Below are 17,386 nucleotides of genomic sequence, written 5' to 3' on the forward strand. Positions count from 1 at the left end.
TTTTGGGTTTTTTTTGAGATGGTGTCTTGCTCTGTCACCCAGGCTGGAGTGCAATGGTGCAATCTTGGCTCACTGCAATCTCTGCCTCCCGAGTTCAAGCAATTCTTCTGCCTCATCCTTCCGAGTAGCTGGGACTACAGGTGCATGCCACCATGCCTGGCAAACTTTTTGGGTTTTTTTGTATTTTTAGTAGAGATGGGGGTTTCACCATGCTGGCCAGGTTGGTCTCAAACTCCTGACCTCATGATCTGCCTGCCTTGGCCTCCCAATACATGTTTTACTCAAAGTATCCTTTTTTGCTTCACAGATATATTCCATGAAGACAAAATAGAAGATGAACTTCTATTCACCGTTTCTGGAATTCTAGCCGCCATGATGGTCTGGTGGTGACTGATAACTAGTTTTATTCCAAGACATACCTTTACCTCTTTAAGTTTCAATCTCCCATCTCCCAGTCCTTCAGTCCCCAACTGCAGAGGATGACCTCCCCAGATAGAGGAGAATCATTACTCCAACAAGAATAACCAAGTCTTTGTATCCCTAGTACAAGACATAGTATTTTTATTCGAAAATGAATGTTTAAGTATTAAATTGAAACTTGAATGAATATTCAAGAAAATATAATGATCTCTACTTTTTCTGGATGATTTCCAGCCATCATATCAGTTTGCCAAAAAAATTGAGAAAGTTATGATTTTGACCTCCCAACCTAAACTCTAAATTCTAAAGATCAGTAAACAATTAGGTCAATAAATACATACAATTTAAGATGAAGCCCTTTGGAAGTCTAGTCCAAAACAGGAAAATCTCAGAACTTTCTGGACTCAAGGAAATGCTTTAAATGGAATCTGTAGTTTGTTTGCAGGAGAGACAATTTCTAGAATTTAGATTGCTTTTCAAAATGTTTATCAGGTAGGCAAGTTAGCAGTTGAGGCGGAACACAGACAACTTGGGGAGCTTTACTGGAAGGCCAAGAAAATACTCTTGGACACTGGAGGAAATGACAGCTACTAAAGCCCAATCATGGAAAAGGACCAGAAAGCAGCCCACTGGAATGGGGAGCTTAGTGGGCAAGGAGGTAGGGATATAATTTCTCTTCTTGGCTCCACCAGTAATTAGCTCTGTGGCCCAGTCACCTAAACTTTCTGGACTTCAGTTCAGGTTGTATGGCAGTAGGCCATAGAATTGGCTACTGCCATACAATCTCTATGGGAAAGGACTGCAAAAACTAAATTTTATCTCTGTATGGGCAAAGGCTACTGTCATCCTGTTGTTGGTCTGGGGCCACTCTGACAATTTTTTTTAACCTCATTTGATTGTGTAAGGGTCTAACCACAACAAAAAATCATAGTGTAATAGAATTAATCAAGTTCAGCAAGGTCACAGGCTAGATCAATATACAGAAAATCAATTGTATTTTTCTGTTCAGAAAACTCCAAAAATGAAATAAAGAAAATTGTGTTCACAATATCACCAAAGAGAATTAAATACTTAGGAATAAATTTAACAAAATAAGTATAAGACTTGTATAACGAAAACTATAAAACATTCAAGAGGGCTGGGCATGGTGGCTCATGCCTTTAGTTCTAGCACTTTGGAGGCAGAGGCAGGAGGACTGCTTGAGCCCAGGAGTTCAAGACCAGCCTGGGCAACAAAGTGAGACCCTGTCTCCACAAAAAATAAAAATAAAAATAAATTGAAGATGGCCGAATAGGAACAGCTCCAGTCTACAGCTCCCAGCAGGATGGACACAGAAGATGGGTGATTTCTGCATTTTCAACTAAAGTACCTGGTTCGTCTCACTGGGACTGGCTGGACAGTGGGTGTAGCCCACAGAGGGTTAGCCGAAGCAAGGTGGGGCATCGCCTCACCTGGGAAGCGCCAAGGGGTCGGGGGATTTCCCTTTCCTAGCCAAGGGAAGCCGTGAGTGACTATACCTGGAGGAGGGGTACACTCCTGCCCAAATACTGCTCTTTTCCCACAGTCTTCGCAACTGGCAGACCACGAAATCCCCTCCCATGCCTGGTTCAGTGGGTCCCACGCCCACAGAGCCTTGCTCACTGCTAGCGCCAGCAGTCTGAAATCGACCTGGGACGTGGGAGCTTGGCGGGGTAGAGGTGTCCGCCATTGCTGAGGCTTGAGTAGGCGGTTCTATGCTCACAGTGTAAACAAAGCAGCAGGGAAGCTCAAACTGGGCAGAGCCCACCACAGCTCAGCAAGGCCTACTGTCTCTGTAGATTCCACCTCCAGGGGCAGGGCATATCTGAACAAAAGGCAGCAGACAGCTTCTCCAGACTTAAACGTCCCTGCCTGACAGCTCTGAAGAGAGCAGTGGTTCTCCCAGCACCGCGTTCAAGCTCCGATAATAGACAGACTGCCTCCTCAAGTGGGTCCCTGACCCCCGTGTAGCCTGACTGGGAGACATCTCCCAGTAGGCGCCGAAAGACACCTCAGAGAGGTAGATGCCCCACTGGAACGAAGCTTCCACAGTAAGGATCAGGCAGCAATATTTGCTGTTCTGCAGCCTCCACTGGTGACACCCAGGCAAACAGGGTCTGGAGTGGACCTCCAGCAAACTCCAACAGACCTGCAGCTAAGGGGCCTGTCTATTAGAAGGAAAACTAACAGAAAGGAATAGCATCAACATCAAAAAAAGGACATCTACACCAAAACCCCATCCATAGGACACCAACATCAGAGACCAAAGGTAGGTAAAACCACAAAGATGGGGAGAAACCAGACCAGAAAGGCTGAAAATTCCAAAAACCAGAATGCCTCTTCTCCTCCAAAGGAACACAACTCCTTGCCAGCAAGGGAACAAAACTGGACAGAGAATGAGTTTGACAAGTTGACAGAAGTAGGCTTCAGAAGGTCGGTAATAACAAACTTCTCCAAGCTAAAGGAGCATGTTCTAATGCGTCGCAAGGAAGCTAAAAATCTTGAAAAAAGGTTAGACAAATGGCTAACTAGAATAACCAGTGTAGAGAAGAGCTTAAATGACCTGATGGAGCTGAAAACCACAGTACGGGAACTTCGTGAAGCATACACAAGCTTCAATAGCCAATTCGATCAAGTGGAAGAAAGGATATCAGTAACTGAAGATCAAATTAATGAAATAAAGCGAGAGGACAAGATTAGAGAAAAAAGAGTGAAAAGAAATGAACAAAGCCTCCAAGAAATATGAGACTATGTGAAAAGACCAAATCTATGTTTGATTGGTGTACCTGAAAGTGATGGGGAGAACAGAACCAAGTTTGAAAACACTCTTCAGGATATTATCCAGGAGAGCTTCCCCAACCTAGCAAGGAAGGCCAACATTCAAATTCAGGAAATACAGAGAACACCACAAAGATACTCCTCAAGAAGAGCAACCCCAAGACACATAATTGTCAGATTCACCAAGGTTGAAATGAAGGAAAAACTGTTAAGGGCAGCCAGAGAGAAAGGTCAGGTTACCCACAAAGGGAAGCCCATCAGATTAACAGCGGACCTCTGGGCAGAAACCCTACAAGCCAGAAGAGAATGGGGGCCAATATTCAACATTCTTAAAGAAAAGAATTTTCAACCCAGAATCTCATATCCAGCCAAACTAAGCTTCTTAAGTGAAGGAGAAATAAAATCCTTTACAGACAAGCAAATGCTGAGAGATTTTGTCACCACCAGGCCTGCCTTACAAGAGCTCCTGAAGTAAGCACTAAAATGGACAGGAACAACCAGTACCAGCCACTGCAAAAACATGCCAAATGGTAAAGACCATCAACACTATGAAGAAACTGCATCAATTAATGGATGAAATAACCAGCTAGCATCATAATGACAGGATCAAATTCCCACATAACAATATTAACCTTAAATGTAAATGGGATAAATGCCCCAATTAAAAGACACAGACTGGCAAATTGAATAAACAGTCAAGACCCATCAGTGAGCTATATTCAGGAGACCCATCTCATGTGCAAAGACACACATAGGCTCAGAATAAAAGGATGTAGGAAGATTTACCAAGCAAATGGAAAGCAGAAAAAAGCAGGGGTTGCAATCCTAGTCTCTGATAAAACAGACTTTAAACCAACAAAGATCAAAAGAGACAAAGAAGGTCATTACATAATGGTAAAGGGATCAATTCAACAAGAACAGCTAACTATCCTAAATATATATGCACCCAATACAGGAGCACCCAGATTCATAAAGCAAGTTCTACAAAGAGATTTAGACTCCCACACAATATTAATGGGTGACTTTAACACCCCACTGTCAATATTAGACAGATCAACAAGACAGAAAATTAACAAAGATATCCAGGACTTGAACTCAGCTCTGGACCAAGCAGACCTAATAGACATCGACAGAACTCTCCACCCCAAATCAACAGAATATACATTCTTGTCAGCACCACATCACACTTATTCCAAAATTGACCACATAATTGGAAGTAAAGCACTCTTCAGCAAATGCAAAAGAACAGAAATCACAACAAACCGTCTCAGACCACAATGCAATCAAATTAGAACTCAGGATCAAGAATCTCACTCAACTGCACAACTGCATGGAAACTGAACAACCTGTTCCTGAATGACTACTGGGTAAATAACGAAATGAAGGCAGAAATAAAGATGTTCTTTGGAACCAACGAGAACAAAGACACAATGTACCAGAATCTCTAGGACATGTTTAAAGCAGTATGTAGAGGGAAATTTATAGCACTAAATGCCCACAAGTGAAAGCAGGAGTGATCTAAAATCAACACCCTAACATCACAATTAAAAGAACTAGAGAAGCAAGACCAAACAAATTCAAAAGCTAGCAGAAGGCAAGAAATAACTAAGATCAGAGCAGAACTGAAGGAGATAGAGACTCAACAAACCCTTCAAAAAATCAGTGAATCCAGGAGCTAGTTTTTTGAAAAGATCAACAAAATTGATAGACCGTTAGCAAGGCTAAAAAAGAAGAAAAGAGAGAAGAGTCAAATAGATGCAATAAAAAATGATAAAGGGGATATCACCACTGATCCCACAGAAATACAAACTACCATCAGCGAATACTATAAACACCTCTACACAAATAAACTAGAAAATCTAGAAGAAATGGATAAATTCCTCGACACATACACCCTCCCAAGACTAAACCAGGAAGAAGTTGAATCTCTGAATAAACCAGTAACAGGTTCTGAAATTGAGGCAATAATTAATAGCCTACCAACCAAAAAAAGTCCAGGACCAGACGGATTCACAGCCAAATTCTACGAAAGGTACAAAGAGGTGCTGGTACCATTCCTTCTGAAACTATTCCAATCAATAGAAGAAAAGGGAATCCTCCCTAACTCATTTTATGAGGCTAACATCATCCTGATACCAAAGCCTGGCAGAGACACAACAAAAAAAGAGAATTTTAGGCCAATATCCCTGATGAACATCGATGCGAAAATCCTCAATAAAATACTGGCAAACCGAATCCAGCAGCATATCAAAAAGCTTATCCACCACGATCAAGTCAGCTTCTTCCCTGGGATGCAAGGCTGGTTCAACATATGCAAATCAATAAACATAATCCATCACATAAACAGAACCAACGGCAAAAACCACATGATTATCTCAATAGATACAAAAAAGGCCTTCAACAAAATTCAACAGCCTTTCATGCTAAAAACCCTCAATAAACTAGGTATTGATGGAATGTATCTCAATATAATAAGAGGTTATTTATGACAAACCCACAGCCAATAGCATACTGAATGGGCAAAAGCTGGAAGCATTTCCTTTGAAGACCAGCACAAGGCAAGGATGCCCTCTCTCACCACTCCTATTCAACATAGTATTGGAAGTTCTGGCCAGGGCAATCAGGCAAGAGAAAGCAATAAAGCATATTCAAATAGGAAGAGAGGAAGTCAAATTGTCTCTGTTTGCAGATGACATGATTGTATATTTAGAAAACCCCATCGTCTCATCCCAAAATCTCCTTAAGCTGATAAGCAACTTCAGCAAAGTCTCAGGATACAAAATCGGTGTGCAAAAATCACAAGCATTCCTATATACCAATAATAGACAAAGAGCCAAATCATGAGTGAACTCCCATTCACAATTGCTACTAAGAAAATAAAATACAAAGCACTGCTCAAGGAAATAAGAGAGGACACAAACAAATGGAAAAACATTCCATGCTCATGGATAGGAAGAATCAATATCATGACAATGGCCTTGTTGCCCAAACTGATTTATAGATTCAATGCTATCCCCATCAAGCTACCACTAACTTTCTTCACAGAATTGGAAAAAACTACTTTAAGATTCATATGGAACCAAAAAAGAGCCCACCTAGCCAAGACAATCCTGGGCAAGAAGAACAAAGCTGGAGGCATCACACTACCTGACTTCAAACTTTACTACAAGCCTACAGTAACCAAAACAGCATGGCACTGGTACAAAAACAGATATGCAGACGAATGGAACAGAATGGAGGCCTCAGAAATAACACCACACGTCTACCACCATCTGATCTTTGACAAACCTGACACACACAAGCAATGGGGAAAAGATTCCCTATTTAATAAATGGTGTTGGGAAAACGGGCTAGCCATATGCAGAAAACTGTAACTGGACCCTTTCCTTACACCTTATACAAAAATCAACTCAAGATGGAACAAAGACTTAAACGTAAGACCTAGGACCATAAAAATCCTAGAAGAAAACCTGGGCAATACCATTCAGGACATAGGCATGGGCAAAGACTTCATGTCTAAAACACCAAAAGCAATGGCAACAAAAGCCAAAATTGACAAATGGGTTCTAATTAAAGAGCTTCTGCACAGCAAAATAAACTATCATCAGAGTGAACAGGCAACCTACAGAATGGGAGAACATTTTTGCAATATATCCATCTGACAAAGGGCTAATATCCAGAATCTACAAAGAACTTAAACAAATTTACAAGAAAAAAGCAAACAACCCCATCAAAAAATGGGCAAAGGATATGAACAGATACTTCTCAAAAGAAGACATTTATGCAGCCAACAGACATATGAAAAAATGCTCATCATCACTAGTCATTAGAGAAATGAAAATCAAAACCACAGTGAGATACCATCTCATGCCAGTTAGAATGGCGATCATTAAAAATCAGGAAACAATAGATGCTGGAGAGGTTGTGGAAAAATTGGAACGCTTTTACACTGTTGGTGGGAGTGCAAATTAGTCCGACCATTGTGGAAGTCAGTGTGACGACTCCTCAAGGATCTAGAACTGGAAATACCATTTGACCCAGCAATCCCACTATTGGGCATATACCCAAAAGATTATAAATCATTCTACAATAAAGACACATGCACACGTATGTTTATTGCTGCACTATTCACAATAGCAAAGATTTGAAACCAACCCAAATGCCCGTCAATGATAGACTGGATTAAGAAAATGTGGCACATGTATACCATGGAATACTATGCAGCCATAAAAAAGGATGAGTTCATGTCCTTTGCAGGGACATGGATAAAGCCGGAAACCATCATTCTCAGCAAACTATCACAAGATCAGAAAACCAAACAACGCATGTTCTCACTCATAAGTGGGAGTTAAACAATGAGAACACATGGACACAGGGAGGGTAACATCACACACCAGGGCCTGTGGGGGGTGGGGGGCTAAGGGAGGGATAACATTAGGAGAAATACCTAATGTAGGTGACAGGTTGGTGGGTGCAGCAAACCACCATGGCATGTGTATACCTATGTAACAAAACTACATGTTCTGCACATGTAACCCAGAACTTAAAGTATAATAAAAAAAATAATTATTAAATTTTAAAAAACTAGCCAGGCATGGTGCTGCACACCTGTAGTCCCAGCTACTTGAGAGGCTACATTGGGAGGATTGCCTGAGCTTGGGAGGTTGAGGCTGCAGTTAGCTGTGACTGTGCCAGTGCACTCCAGCCTGGGCAACAGAGCAAGACCCTGTCTCAAAAAAAGAAAAAGAAAAATTCAGAGAGATTAAAGAAGGTATCAAGAAATGTAGACACAATCCATGTTCATGAATTGGAAGATCAAATGTTGTTAAGATAGCAGTTCTCCCCAAATTAATCTACAATGCAATCCCTATCAAAATCACAGCAGGCTTTTTTGAAAAATTGACAAGCCAATCTTAAAATCTGTATGAAAACATAAAGGATTCAGAATAGCCAAAATAATTCTGAAAATGAAGAAATAATTCTGATCCAGAACTTACTACAAAGCTACATTAATCAAGACAGTGTGGTACTGATATAAAGATAGGCATACAGATCAGTGGAACAGAGTCCAGGAATAAACCTTCACATTTATGATCAATTAAGTTTTGACAAAAATCCCAATGAAATTATGGAGAAAAGATGGTCTTTTCAACAAATAGTGCTAGGATATTTGGATATCAAATGCAGAAGAAATTAATTTAGATTCTTACCTCCTACCATATGCAAAAATAAACTCAAAATTGATCACACACCTACATGTAAGAGCTAAAACTATAAAACATGTAGAAGAAAACATGGGAGAAAACCTAGATGACCTTGGTTTAGGAAGAATTCTTAAGACACTAATAGCACAATTCATAAAAGAAAATATTAATAAATTGGACTTCATTAAAATATAAAATTTTGTTTCAAAAAACTATTAAGAAAATTAATTGGCCCGGGGAGGTGGTTCACATCTGAAATCCCTGCACTTTCGGAAGCCAAGGAGGGTGGACCACTTGAGCTCAGGAATTTGAGACCAGACTGGACAACAGAGCAAAATGCCATCTCCACAAAAAATACAAAAATTAACCAGGCATGGTGGCGTGCTCCTGTAGTCCTGGCTACTCAGAAGGCTGAGGTGGGAGGATCTCTTGACCCTGGGAGGCAGAGGTTGCAGTGAGCCAAGATCACACCACCGCACTAGAGCCTGGGTGACAGAGTGAGACCCTGTCTCAAAAAAAAAAAAAAAAAAAAAAATTAATTGAAAAATCACAGACTGGGAGAAAATATTTTCAAACCATAATAAGTATCTGATAGAGGACTTGTATCTAGACTATGTAAAGAATTCTTAAAACTCAAAAATAAGGCAGACAACTTAAAAATGGACAAAATGTTTGAATAGATATTTCAGCAAAGATATACAAATTGCTTAGCATATGAAGAGATGTGTACTATCACTAGTCATTAGGAAAATACAAGTTAAAAGCAAAATTAGATACCATTTTGGACCCACTAAAATGACTATAATAAAAAAGACAGACAAAGATATGTGTTGGTGATGATGTGGAGAAACTGGAGCCCTAATGCATTGCTGGTGGGAATGTAAAATGGTGCAGCCACTTTGGAAAACAGTTTGGCAGTTTCTTAAAAAGATAAACATAAGTTTACCATATGATCCTGCTATTCCATGAGAAGAGAAGTGGAAATGTGTTCACATCAAGACTCGTAGGCAAATGTTCATAGCATTATCATTCATATTAGTCAAAAAGTGGAAACCAAATGACCATCAACTACTGGATTTTTTTTTTTTTTTTAAGAGATGAGGCCTCACTATGTTGCATACTCTGAAGTCAAACTCCTGGGCTCAAACAATCCTCCTGCCTCAGCCTCCTCAGTAACTGGGACTGCAGGCAGGCACCAACATACCCAGATTATTTCTTTTTCTTTTTTTTTTTAACTGGTGGATTTCTTTAAATGATATATGTATACAATGGAGTAGTGATATAGGCTACAATATGGATGCATCTCAAAACATTATGCTTAGTGAAAGAAGTCTGATGCAATATCCCACATATGGTATGTTTCCATTTACAGTCCAGAAAAGGCATATACTAAATTAGCAGTTGCATGGGTCTGATGTGAAAACATGGATTGCCTGCAGATGGGCACAAGGGATCTTTTGGGGGTGACAAAAATGTTCCAAAACTAAGTTGTAATTTTTGCACAACTTTTATGTGTGTGTGTGTGTGTGTGTGTGAGATGGAGTTTCACTCTTGTTGCCCAGGCTGGAGTGCAATGGCGCGATCTCAGCTCACCACAACCTCCGCCTCCTGGGTTGAAGCATTTCTCCTGCCTCAGCTTCCTGAGTAGCTGGGATTACAGGCATGTGCCACCATGCCCGGCTAATTTTGTATTTTTAGTAGAGACAGGTTTTCTCCAGGTTGGTCAGGCTGGTCTCGAACTCCTGACCTCAGGTGATCCTCCTGCCTCGGCCTCCCAAAGCGCTGGGATTACAGGCGTGAGCCACCACACCCAGCCATTTTTGCACAACTTTATAAACTTTAAAAATAATTGATTTATGCACTTAAAACAGGTAAAGTTTATGTGTATAAATTATACCTTAATAAAGCTATTAAAAGTCAAAGATTATAACAGGGCCTCTCTCTCTCTGACCTAGTGACCTAGGGTAAAGAGAAAAAGAAGCTAGCCAGGCACAGGGGCTCACACCTGTAATCCCAGCACTTTGGGAAGCCAAGATGGGCTGATTGCTTGAGTCCAGGAGTTTGAGACCAACTTGGGCAACATAGCAAAACCCTGTCTCCACCAAAAATAAAAAAAATTAGCCAGGCATGGCGGTGTATGCCTGGAGTCCCAGCTACTCAGGAGTCAGAGGTGGGAGGATCACTTGAGCCCAGGAGGCAGAGGTTGTAGGGAGCCAAGATTGCACCACTGCACTCCAGCCTGGGTGACAGAGCAAGACACTGTCTCAAAAATTAAAAATTAAAAAATGAGGGAAGCTGCTGTATCTCCACTTCTTCCCTCTCTGTGCCCAGAGATATCTCTTCAGTTATCTCACATGCCCTACAAGTCTAGAGACCTCAGGTGAGGAGCCAGTAGCTCAGTATAGAAACTAAGGATCCAAGTGGACAACTGCCACCAAGTCACCACAGGGCCAGCTGCTTTGGGAGGGTGCTGCATCTGCCTCCCATACACTTCTGCCAAGTTTATGTTAGTTTGGGAGGACTGAAGCAGAATTCAGTTCAAAGTACTGTGCTGGATTTTGGTTTCTAAATATTTTCCAATAGAAAAGAACCCAGGCTTCTTGAGAAAATAGCTAGGTTCTAAGGCTAGAGCCAAAAAAATGCAAGATAAGCCTGGAGCATCTTGTAGTACCAGAAACTAAGCAAGTGCTCAAAAACAAAAGGATAGAAGCATGTCAGACAGACACAGGAGCCAATCTGAAAGAGCTCCCTGGCCGGGCACGGTGGCTCACGCCTGTAATCCCAGCACTTTGGGAGACTGAGGTGGGAGGATGACTTGAGCCCAGGAGTTTGAGACCAGCCTGGGCAACATAGGGAGACCCCATCTCTACAAAAAAGTAAACAATTAGCCGGGCATGGTGGCACACGCCTATAGTCCCAGCTACTCAGGAGGGTGAAGATCACCTGAGACCAGGCGGTCAAGGCTTCAGTGAGCCATGATTGTGGCACTGCACTCCAGCCTAGGCAATAGAGTGAGACTGTCTCAAAAAATAAAATTTTAAAATAACTGAAGAGTATAACTGGATTGTTTGTAACACAAAGGATAAGTGCTTAAGATGATGGAAACCCTATTTATCCTGATGTGATTATTACACATTGCATGCCTGTACCAAAATATTTCATGTAACCCATAAATATATACATCTACTATGTACCCACAAAAATTAAAAAATGTTTACAGGAGTGAACCACCGCACCTGGCCAGTGGAGTCTTTTTAAGGTATTATTTAGCATCTTCTGCTTATAGTCATGTCCAAAAACCAGTTGATCTTCCTACTCATTAGGGGACAAGATCAATTCTCTAAAAAATTAACCTAGCCCAAGGTAAGTGGTACTATTCTGAAATCTGAAAATCTTTAGTAGCCTCACATTATAAGCCCTTCGTAGAAAAAGAAAAGTAAGCATTTCTAGAAGCACATTTTTGTTGGACTGAGGGTGGGGCAAGGAGCAGGGGTGACTTTCATCTGAAATGTACCTAGGCAGGCCAGAGTCTGAGTTAGGACTGGCTCCTGGGACTTTGCCATCCAGGCCAAGAAGCATGCTCCAGTGTGCATGCACTCTCATCAAAGCCCTAGTCAGGAATCCCAGCCACTCCTCTCCTGTGCAGCACAAGCTGAAGGATAAGGTGTGGGGCAGTGACTGCGTGGGGCTGCCTGTGTGATTCCTGATAAAGAAATGCCTTCATGAAATGTATTGTTCCCCAATAAAGCTCATTTTCTGTGAGAATTCATGTGTCCTTTTCCAAATTAAACTAGCAAAATATGAACTTTTGTAAAAGGTCCACACCCAGCCAGTTTTCTACTCTCTAAATGTTCAGGCCTTTGCCTGTCCTTCCCTCAGCAAAAATACTGTGTTTTGGAAAACATTACCAATAAAGGAGCTGGGAGGTGGAATTGGATCAAAATACCTTTAGATGAAAGCAGCAGCACAAGCCATTCCCTTTAAATGAGCTGGCCTCACCTCTGGGGCCTATGAAGAAAAGCCTGCTTCAAGGTGATAGTTTTCATTTTGCTTCCCAGCACCTCTGCAGTCATAACCAAAGTGAAGGACAATATTGCATGACTTCAGAAGAAAGCCATCCAGCCACCTTGCAACATGTTCAGGAAATTCTGGACTCCCTTGGGGCTTGCAAAACTCCCTATGTCTTGCAGACCAAAAGCAAGTTCTCAGTCACCTAGCTCTAGTTTGCATAATTAAAGAAAGTGGAAGCTGGTTCTTTTCTGGGTGACCCTTCACCCAACCAAGCTCATAAGGACTTGTGACAAAAATAAGAGCAATAAAATGAAGTTTTAACAGTGAAAACTTCTATCACTTAGATAAGCAGGAAAAGCCAGTCCCCTAGATGCCCATCTGACCCTACCTTACTGGGGTCATACAGCCAAAGCAGTGTCCACTTCAGGTACTGTAATGTTTTGAAGTTGACACATATAATTTAATGTAGTTTCATGTCATAAGTTATAAGACTTTTCAGAGAAACAATTTAGTAATATCTTCTGTAATACCCATCTTCATTTTTTATATGAAAAAGCATAGCCTATGATCTGTCACCTTGCTCACTCCCACATCCTTACCTCTTATCCTTCTCACATCGTCCCATTAACACATTATCCATCTTTGGGGGGAAAAAATACACTAAATTTTAGACAGAGTCACTTTCACTATGGCCACAATGGGAGAAAAGACAGTCCACCTTCAAAGTCAACCAGAATGACTCTTAACCTCTCTTGTCTGGGTTGGGCATCCAGATAAGATTTTCTTCGTACAAAGAGTCTTGCTACTAGGAAAAAGAGTTTGAAAATCACTAGTCTAACTAAATATCTCACTTTAAAAAAAGCACAAACTAAGACTCAATGAGGTTTATCTTCCACAAGATCAGCCAGTTTTAGCAGAGCAGTTGCTAAAACCCAGGTCTCAAACTCCTTGTCTATGGCTCATCTAACTAAGCAACAAAAAGCCCAATGAGCTCTGGAGAGAGAGAGGGAGCTAAAACAGGACTCAATCAAAACCCACTTGGGATTAGGGAAGCCACCCTCTGTGAGTGAGTTAAACTGAGATTCCCTCCCCTTCACCCTGGCTTCCTTTGCAGAACAAGGGTCACCGCCAGAGGGAAAGCTGAGTTTACGGAGGGGATCCTGGTTGGAGTCAGAGTATACCTTGGTTTGGTTTTGTGGGGTTTTTTGAGACAGGGTCTCACTGTCACCCAGGCTGGAGCACAGTGACAGTCATAGCTCACTATAGCCTCAGACTCCTGGCCTCAAGCGATCCTCCCACCTCAACCTCCAGAGTATCTGGGACTATAGGCACGTACCACCATACCCAGCTAATATTTTTTTTAATTTTATATTTTTTAGAGACAGGGTGTCACTATGTTACCCAGGTCTCAATCACTATGTTACTCCTTGCCTCAAGCAATCCTCTCACCTTGGCCTCCCAAAGTGCTGAGCTTACAGGTGTCAACCACTGTGGCCAGCCACGCATTGGTTTTAAGGTCCAGAATTTTTCTGTTTGGAGCCTTCACAATTAGTTTTAGGTTGGGAGACCGTGAACCCACCAAGCAGCCCTTTAGAGGCTGGAAAAAGAGTTTGGAAAAAGAACTCTGTGGCTTTAGGAATTTCTCTCGGAAATCCTCTAGGGCAGAGAAGGAAAATTTACCAAATGGGAGAGTGTATTAGTCTATTCTTACATTGCTATAAGGAAATACCCCAGACTGGGTAATTTATAAAGGAAAGAGTTTTAATTGACTCACAGTTCCACATGGCTGGGAAAGCCTCAGGAAACTTACAATCATAGCAGAAGGCAAAGGGGAAGAAAGGCACCTTCTTCACAGGGCGGCAGGAAGGAGAAGTGCAGAGCAAAGTGGGGCAAAGCCTCTATAAAGCCATCAGATCTCATGAGAACTCACTATCATGAGAACAGCAGGGGAGAACCACCCCCATGATCCAATCACCTTCCACGAGGTCCCTCCCCCAACACGTGGGGATCACAATTTGGATTACAATTCAAGATGAGATTTGGGTGAGGACACAGAGCCGGACCATATCAGAGAGAAAGCTATTACTGAAGACCTTTCTAACTCACTTCTGTAAAGATCAATTCAATAAAAGCAGCAAACACACATACTTTGCTTTCCTTGTGATTAATGCCTTGACTTTTTTGTGGAAAGTAACACCCCAAGAAAGCCAGCTACTCATGTTGGCAATAAAGGTAAAAGTATCTATGGAATAAGGACCATTTTTAGGACAATACTTTCCCTACTACTTAGTTCTAGTCCCTTTTTTGTAGAATTCTGAGGACTTTCTACATACACAATCATGTCATCAGCAAATAAAGATTATTGTACTTGTTCTTTGCCAACCCATATGTCTTGCCTTACTGCCCTGGTTAGGACCTTCAGAACAATACTGGATATAAGTGGTGAAAGCACATATCCTCCCCTTGTTCCTAATTTTAGAGGGAAAGTACTCAGTCTTTCGCCATTAAGTACAATGTCAGCTGTAAGTTTTCCTAGAGACCCTTTCTCAGCTTGAAGATGTTCCCTGGTATTCATAGTTTGCTAAAAGGTTTTTGTCATTTTAAATCATAAATGGGTGTTGAATTTTGTCAAAGGCTTTTAATGCATCTATGGAGATGATCCAAGTTTTTTTCCTCCTTATTTCTGCTAAGGTTGTATAATTATGCTCATTGGTATTTTAAATGTTAAATTAACCTTGCGTTCCTGGGATAAGACCCACTGATCATGATGCATTTTCCTCTTTGTAAATTGCTGTATTCATTTTAGTTTCTTCAGGATTTTGCCTATGTTTGAAGGATATTGGTTTGTAATTTTTCTTGTAACATCTTTGTCTGGTTTTGAAATCAAAGTAATACTGGCCTAATAAAATGAGTTGGAATGTGTACTGCCCAATTCTATTTTCTGAAACTTCTGCATGGATGAAGGATTCTATTATTCCTTCCTTAGATGTTTGATACAATTCACCAGTGACATCATCTCAGCCTGTGAATTTCCCTTATGAGACAATTTGTAATTATGACTTTAAATACTTTCATTAAAATATGTATATTTAGGAATGTTTTTTCTTGTGTCATTGTTGGAAACATGTTTCTTCCAATGAATTCTTCCATTTCATCTGTTTTCAAATGTATTTGCATAGTCATTCATAATATCCTCTTACTATTCCCTTAATTAATGTAGAATCTTAGTAGTGTTTTCTCTCTTTTTTTTTTTAAGAGACAGGGTCTCACTGTATTGCCCAGGCTGGAGTGAGGTGACTATTCACAGGCACAATCCCACTGCTGATCAGCACAGCAGTTTTTACCTGCTTCATTTCCAGCCTGGGACAGTTCACCCCTCCTTAGGCAACCTGGTGTCCCCATGCTCCCAGGAGGTCACCATACTGATGCCAAACATAGTGCAGACACCTGACTGGCATGCATATTACAGCCAAGAACTCCTGGTCTAAGCAGTGCTCCCACCTCAGCCTCCTGAATAGCTGGGACTATAGGCGTGCACCACCGCATCTGGCAGTGTTCTCTCTTTTCCTAGATACTGGTAATTTGAGTCTTCTTTTCTCTTGATCAGTCTCAAAAGAAAACAGCTGGGTGTGGTGGTGCACGCCTGTAATCCCAGCACTTTGGGAGGCCGAGACAGGTGGATCACTTGAGGCTGAGTTCAAGACCAGCCTGGCCAACATGGTGAAACCCCATCTCTACTAAAAATACAAAAATTAGCCAGGCATGGTGGCAGATGCCTGTGATCCCAGCTACTTGGGAGGCTAAGGCAGGATAATTGCTTGAACCTGGGAGGCAGAGATTGCAGTGAGCCAAGATCATGCCACTGCACTCCAGCCTGGGCAACAGAGTCTGTCTCAAAAAAAAAAAAAAAAAAAAAAAAAAAACCACATTATTTTGCCTTCATTTTTGAAGGATATTTTCACTTGTTTTCAAATTGTCCTTTTTTTTTTCCTTTTGGCACTTCAAAGATACCACTCCATTGTCTTCTGGCTTGCATAGCTTTAGACTATAAGTATGCAGTAATTCTTATCTTGGTTTCTCTGTATATATTGTATCTTTTTTTCCTCTGGCTGCTTTTAAAAATTTTCTCTTTATCAGTTGTTTTTCAGCAAATTGATTATATGCTTTGGTGTGAGTTTGTATGTGTGTAGGTTTATCCTGCATGGGGTTCATTGAGTTTCTTGAATTTTTGCATTAGCATTCTCAACAAATGTAGAAAATTTTTCAGCATCACATCTTAGTATTATTTCTTTTCTTTTTCTTTTTTTGAGACAGGGTTTCACTCTGTTGCCCAGGCTAGAGTGCAGTGGCATGATCTTGGCTTACTGCAACATCTGCCTCCTGGGTTCAGGTGATCCTCCCACTTCAGCCTCCCAAGTAGCTGGAACTACAGGTGCGTGCCACCATGCCTGAGTAATTTTTTGTAGTTTTTGGAGAGGTGGGGTCTTGCTATGTTGCCCAGGCTGGTCTTGAACTCCTGGGCTCCAGTGAGTCACCTACCTCAGCCTCCCAAAGTGCTGGGATTACAGGCATGAGCCACCGTGCCCAGCCAGTATTATTTCTTAGCATTCAGAAAATGAGGCCAGGCACGGTGGCTCACAACTGTAATCCTACCACTTTGCGGGGCCGAGGTGGACAGATCACGAGGTCAAGAGTTCTAGACCAGCCTGGCCAGCACAGTGAAATGCCATCTCTGCTAAAAATACAAAAGTTAGCTAGGCACGGTGGTGGGCACCTGTAATCCCAGCTACTTGGGAGGCTGAGGCAGGATAATTGCTTGAACCTGGGAGGCAGAGGTTGCAGTGAGCCGAGATCACACCACCGCCCTCCAGCCTAGGTGACAGAGGGAGACTCCATCTCAAAAAAAAAAAAAAAACTTAATGAGACCCCAGTGCAGATTTCTGGAGCACTTCTGC

General features: G+C 41.5%; 1 protein-coding gene and 1 pseudogene across 1 annotated transcript in view; one reads left to right on the top strand and one right to left on the bottom strand.

Moving 5' to 3' along the window:
- RPAP2 (RNA polymerase II associated protein 2) overlaps positions 1-15,353 on the top strand; it is a 102,998-nt gene extending 87,645 nt beyond the window's left edge. The window contains exon 13 of the mRNA NM_024813.3: positions 308-15,353. Within this exon, the coding sequence (NP_079089.2) occupies position 308 (1 nt within the window). The 3' untranslated portion in view covers positions 309-15,353. The remainder of the gene's footprint in view (positions 1-307) is intronic.
- RN7SL824P (RNA, 7SL, cytoplasmic 824, pseudogene) lies at positions 15,686-15,982 on the bottom strand (annotated as a pseudogene).

This window comes from Homo sapiens, chromosome 1, assembly GCF_000001405.40.
Source record: "Homo sapiens chromosome 1, GRCh38.p14 Primary Assembly".
Taxonomy (NCBI): Eukaryota; Metazoa; Chordata; class Mammalia; order Primates; family Hominidae; genus Homo; species Homo sapiens.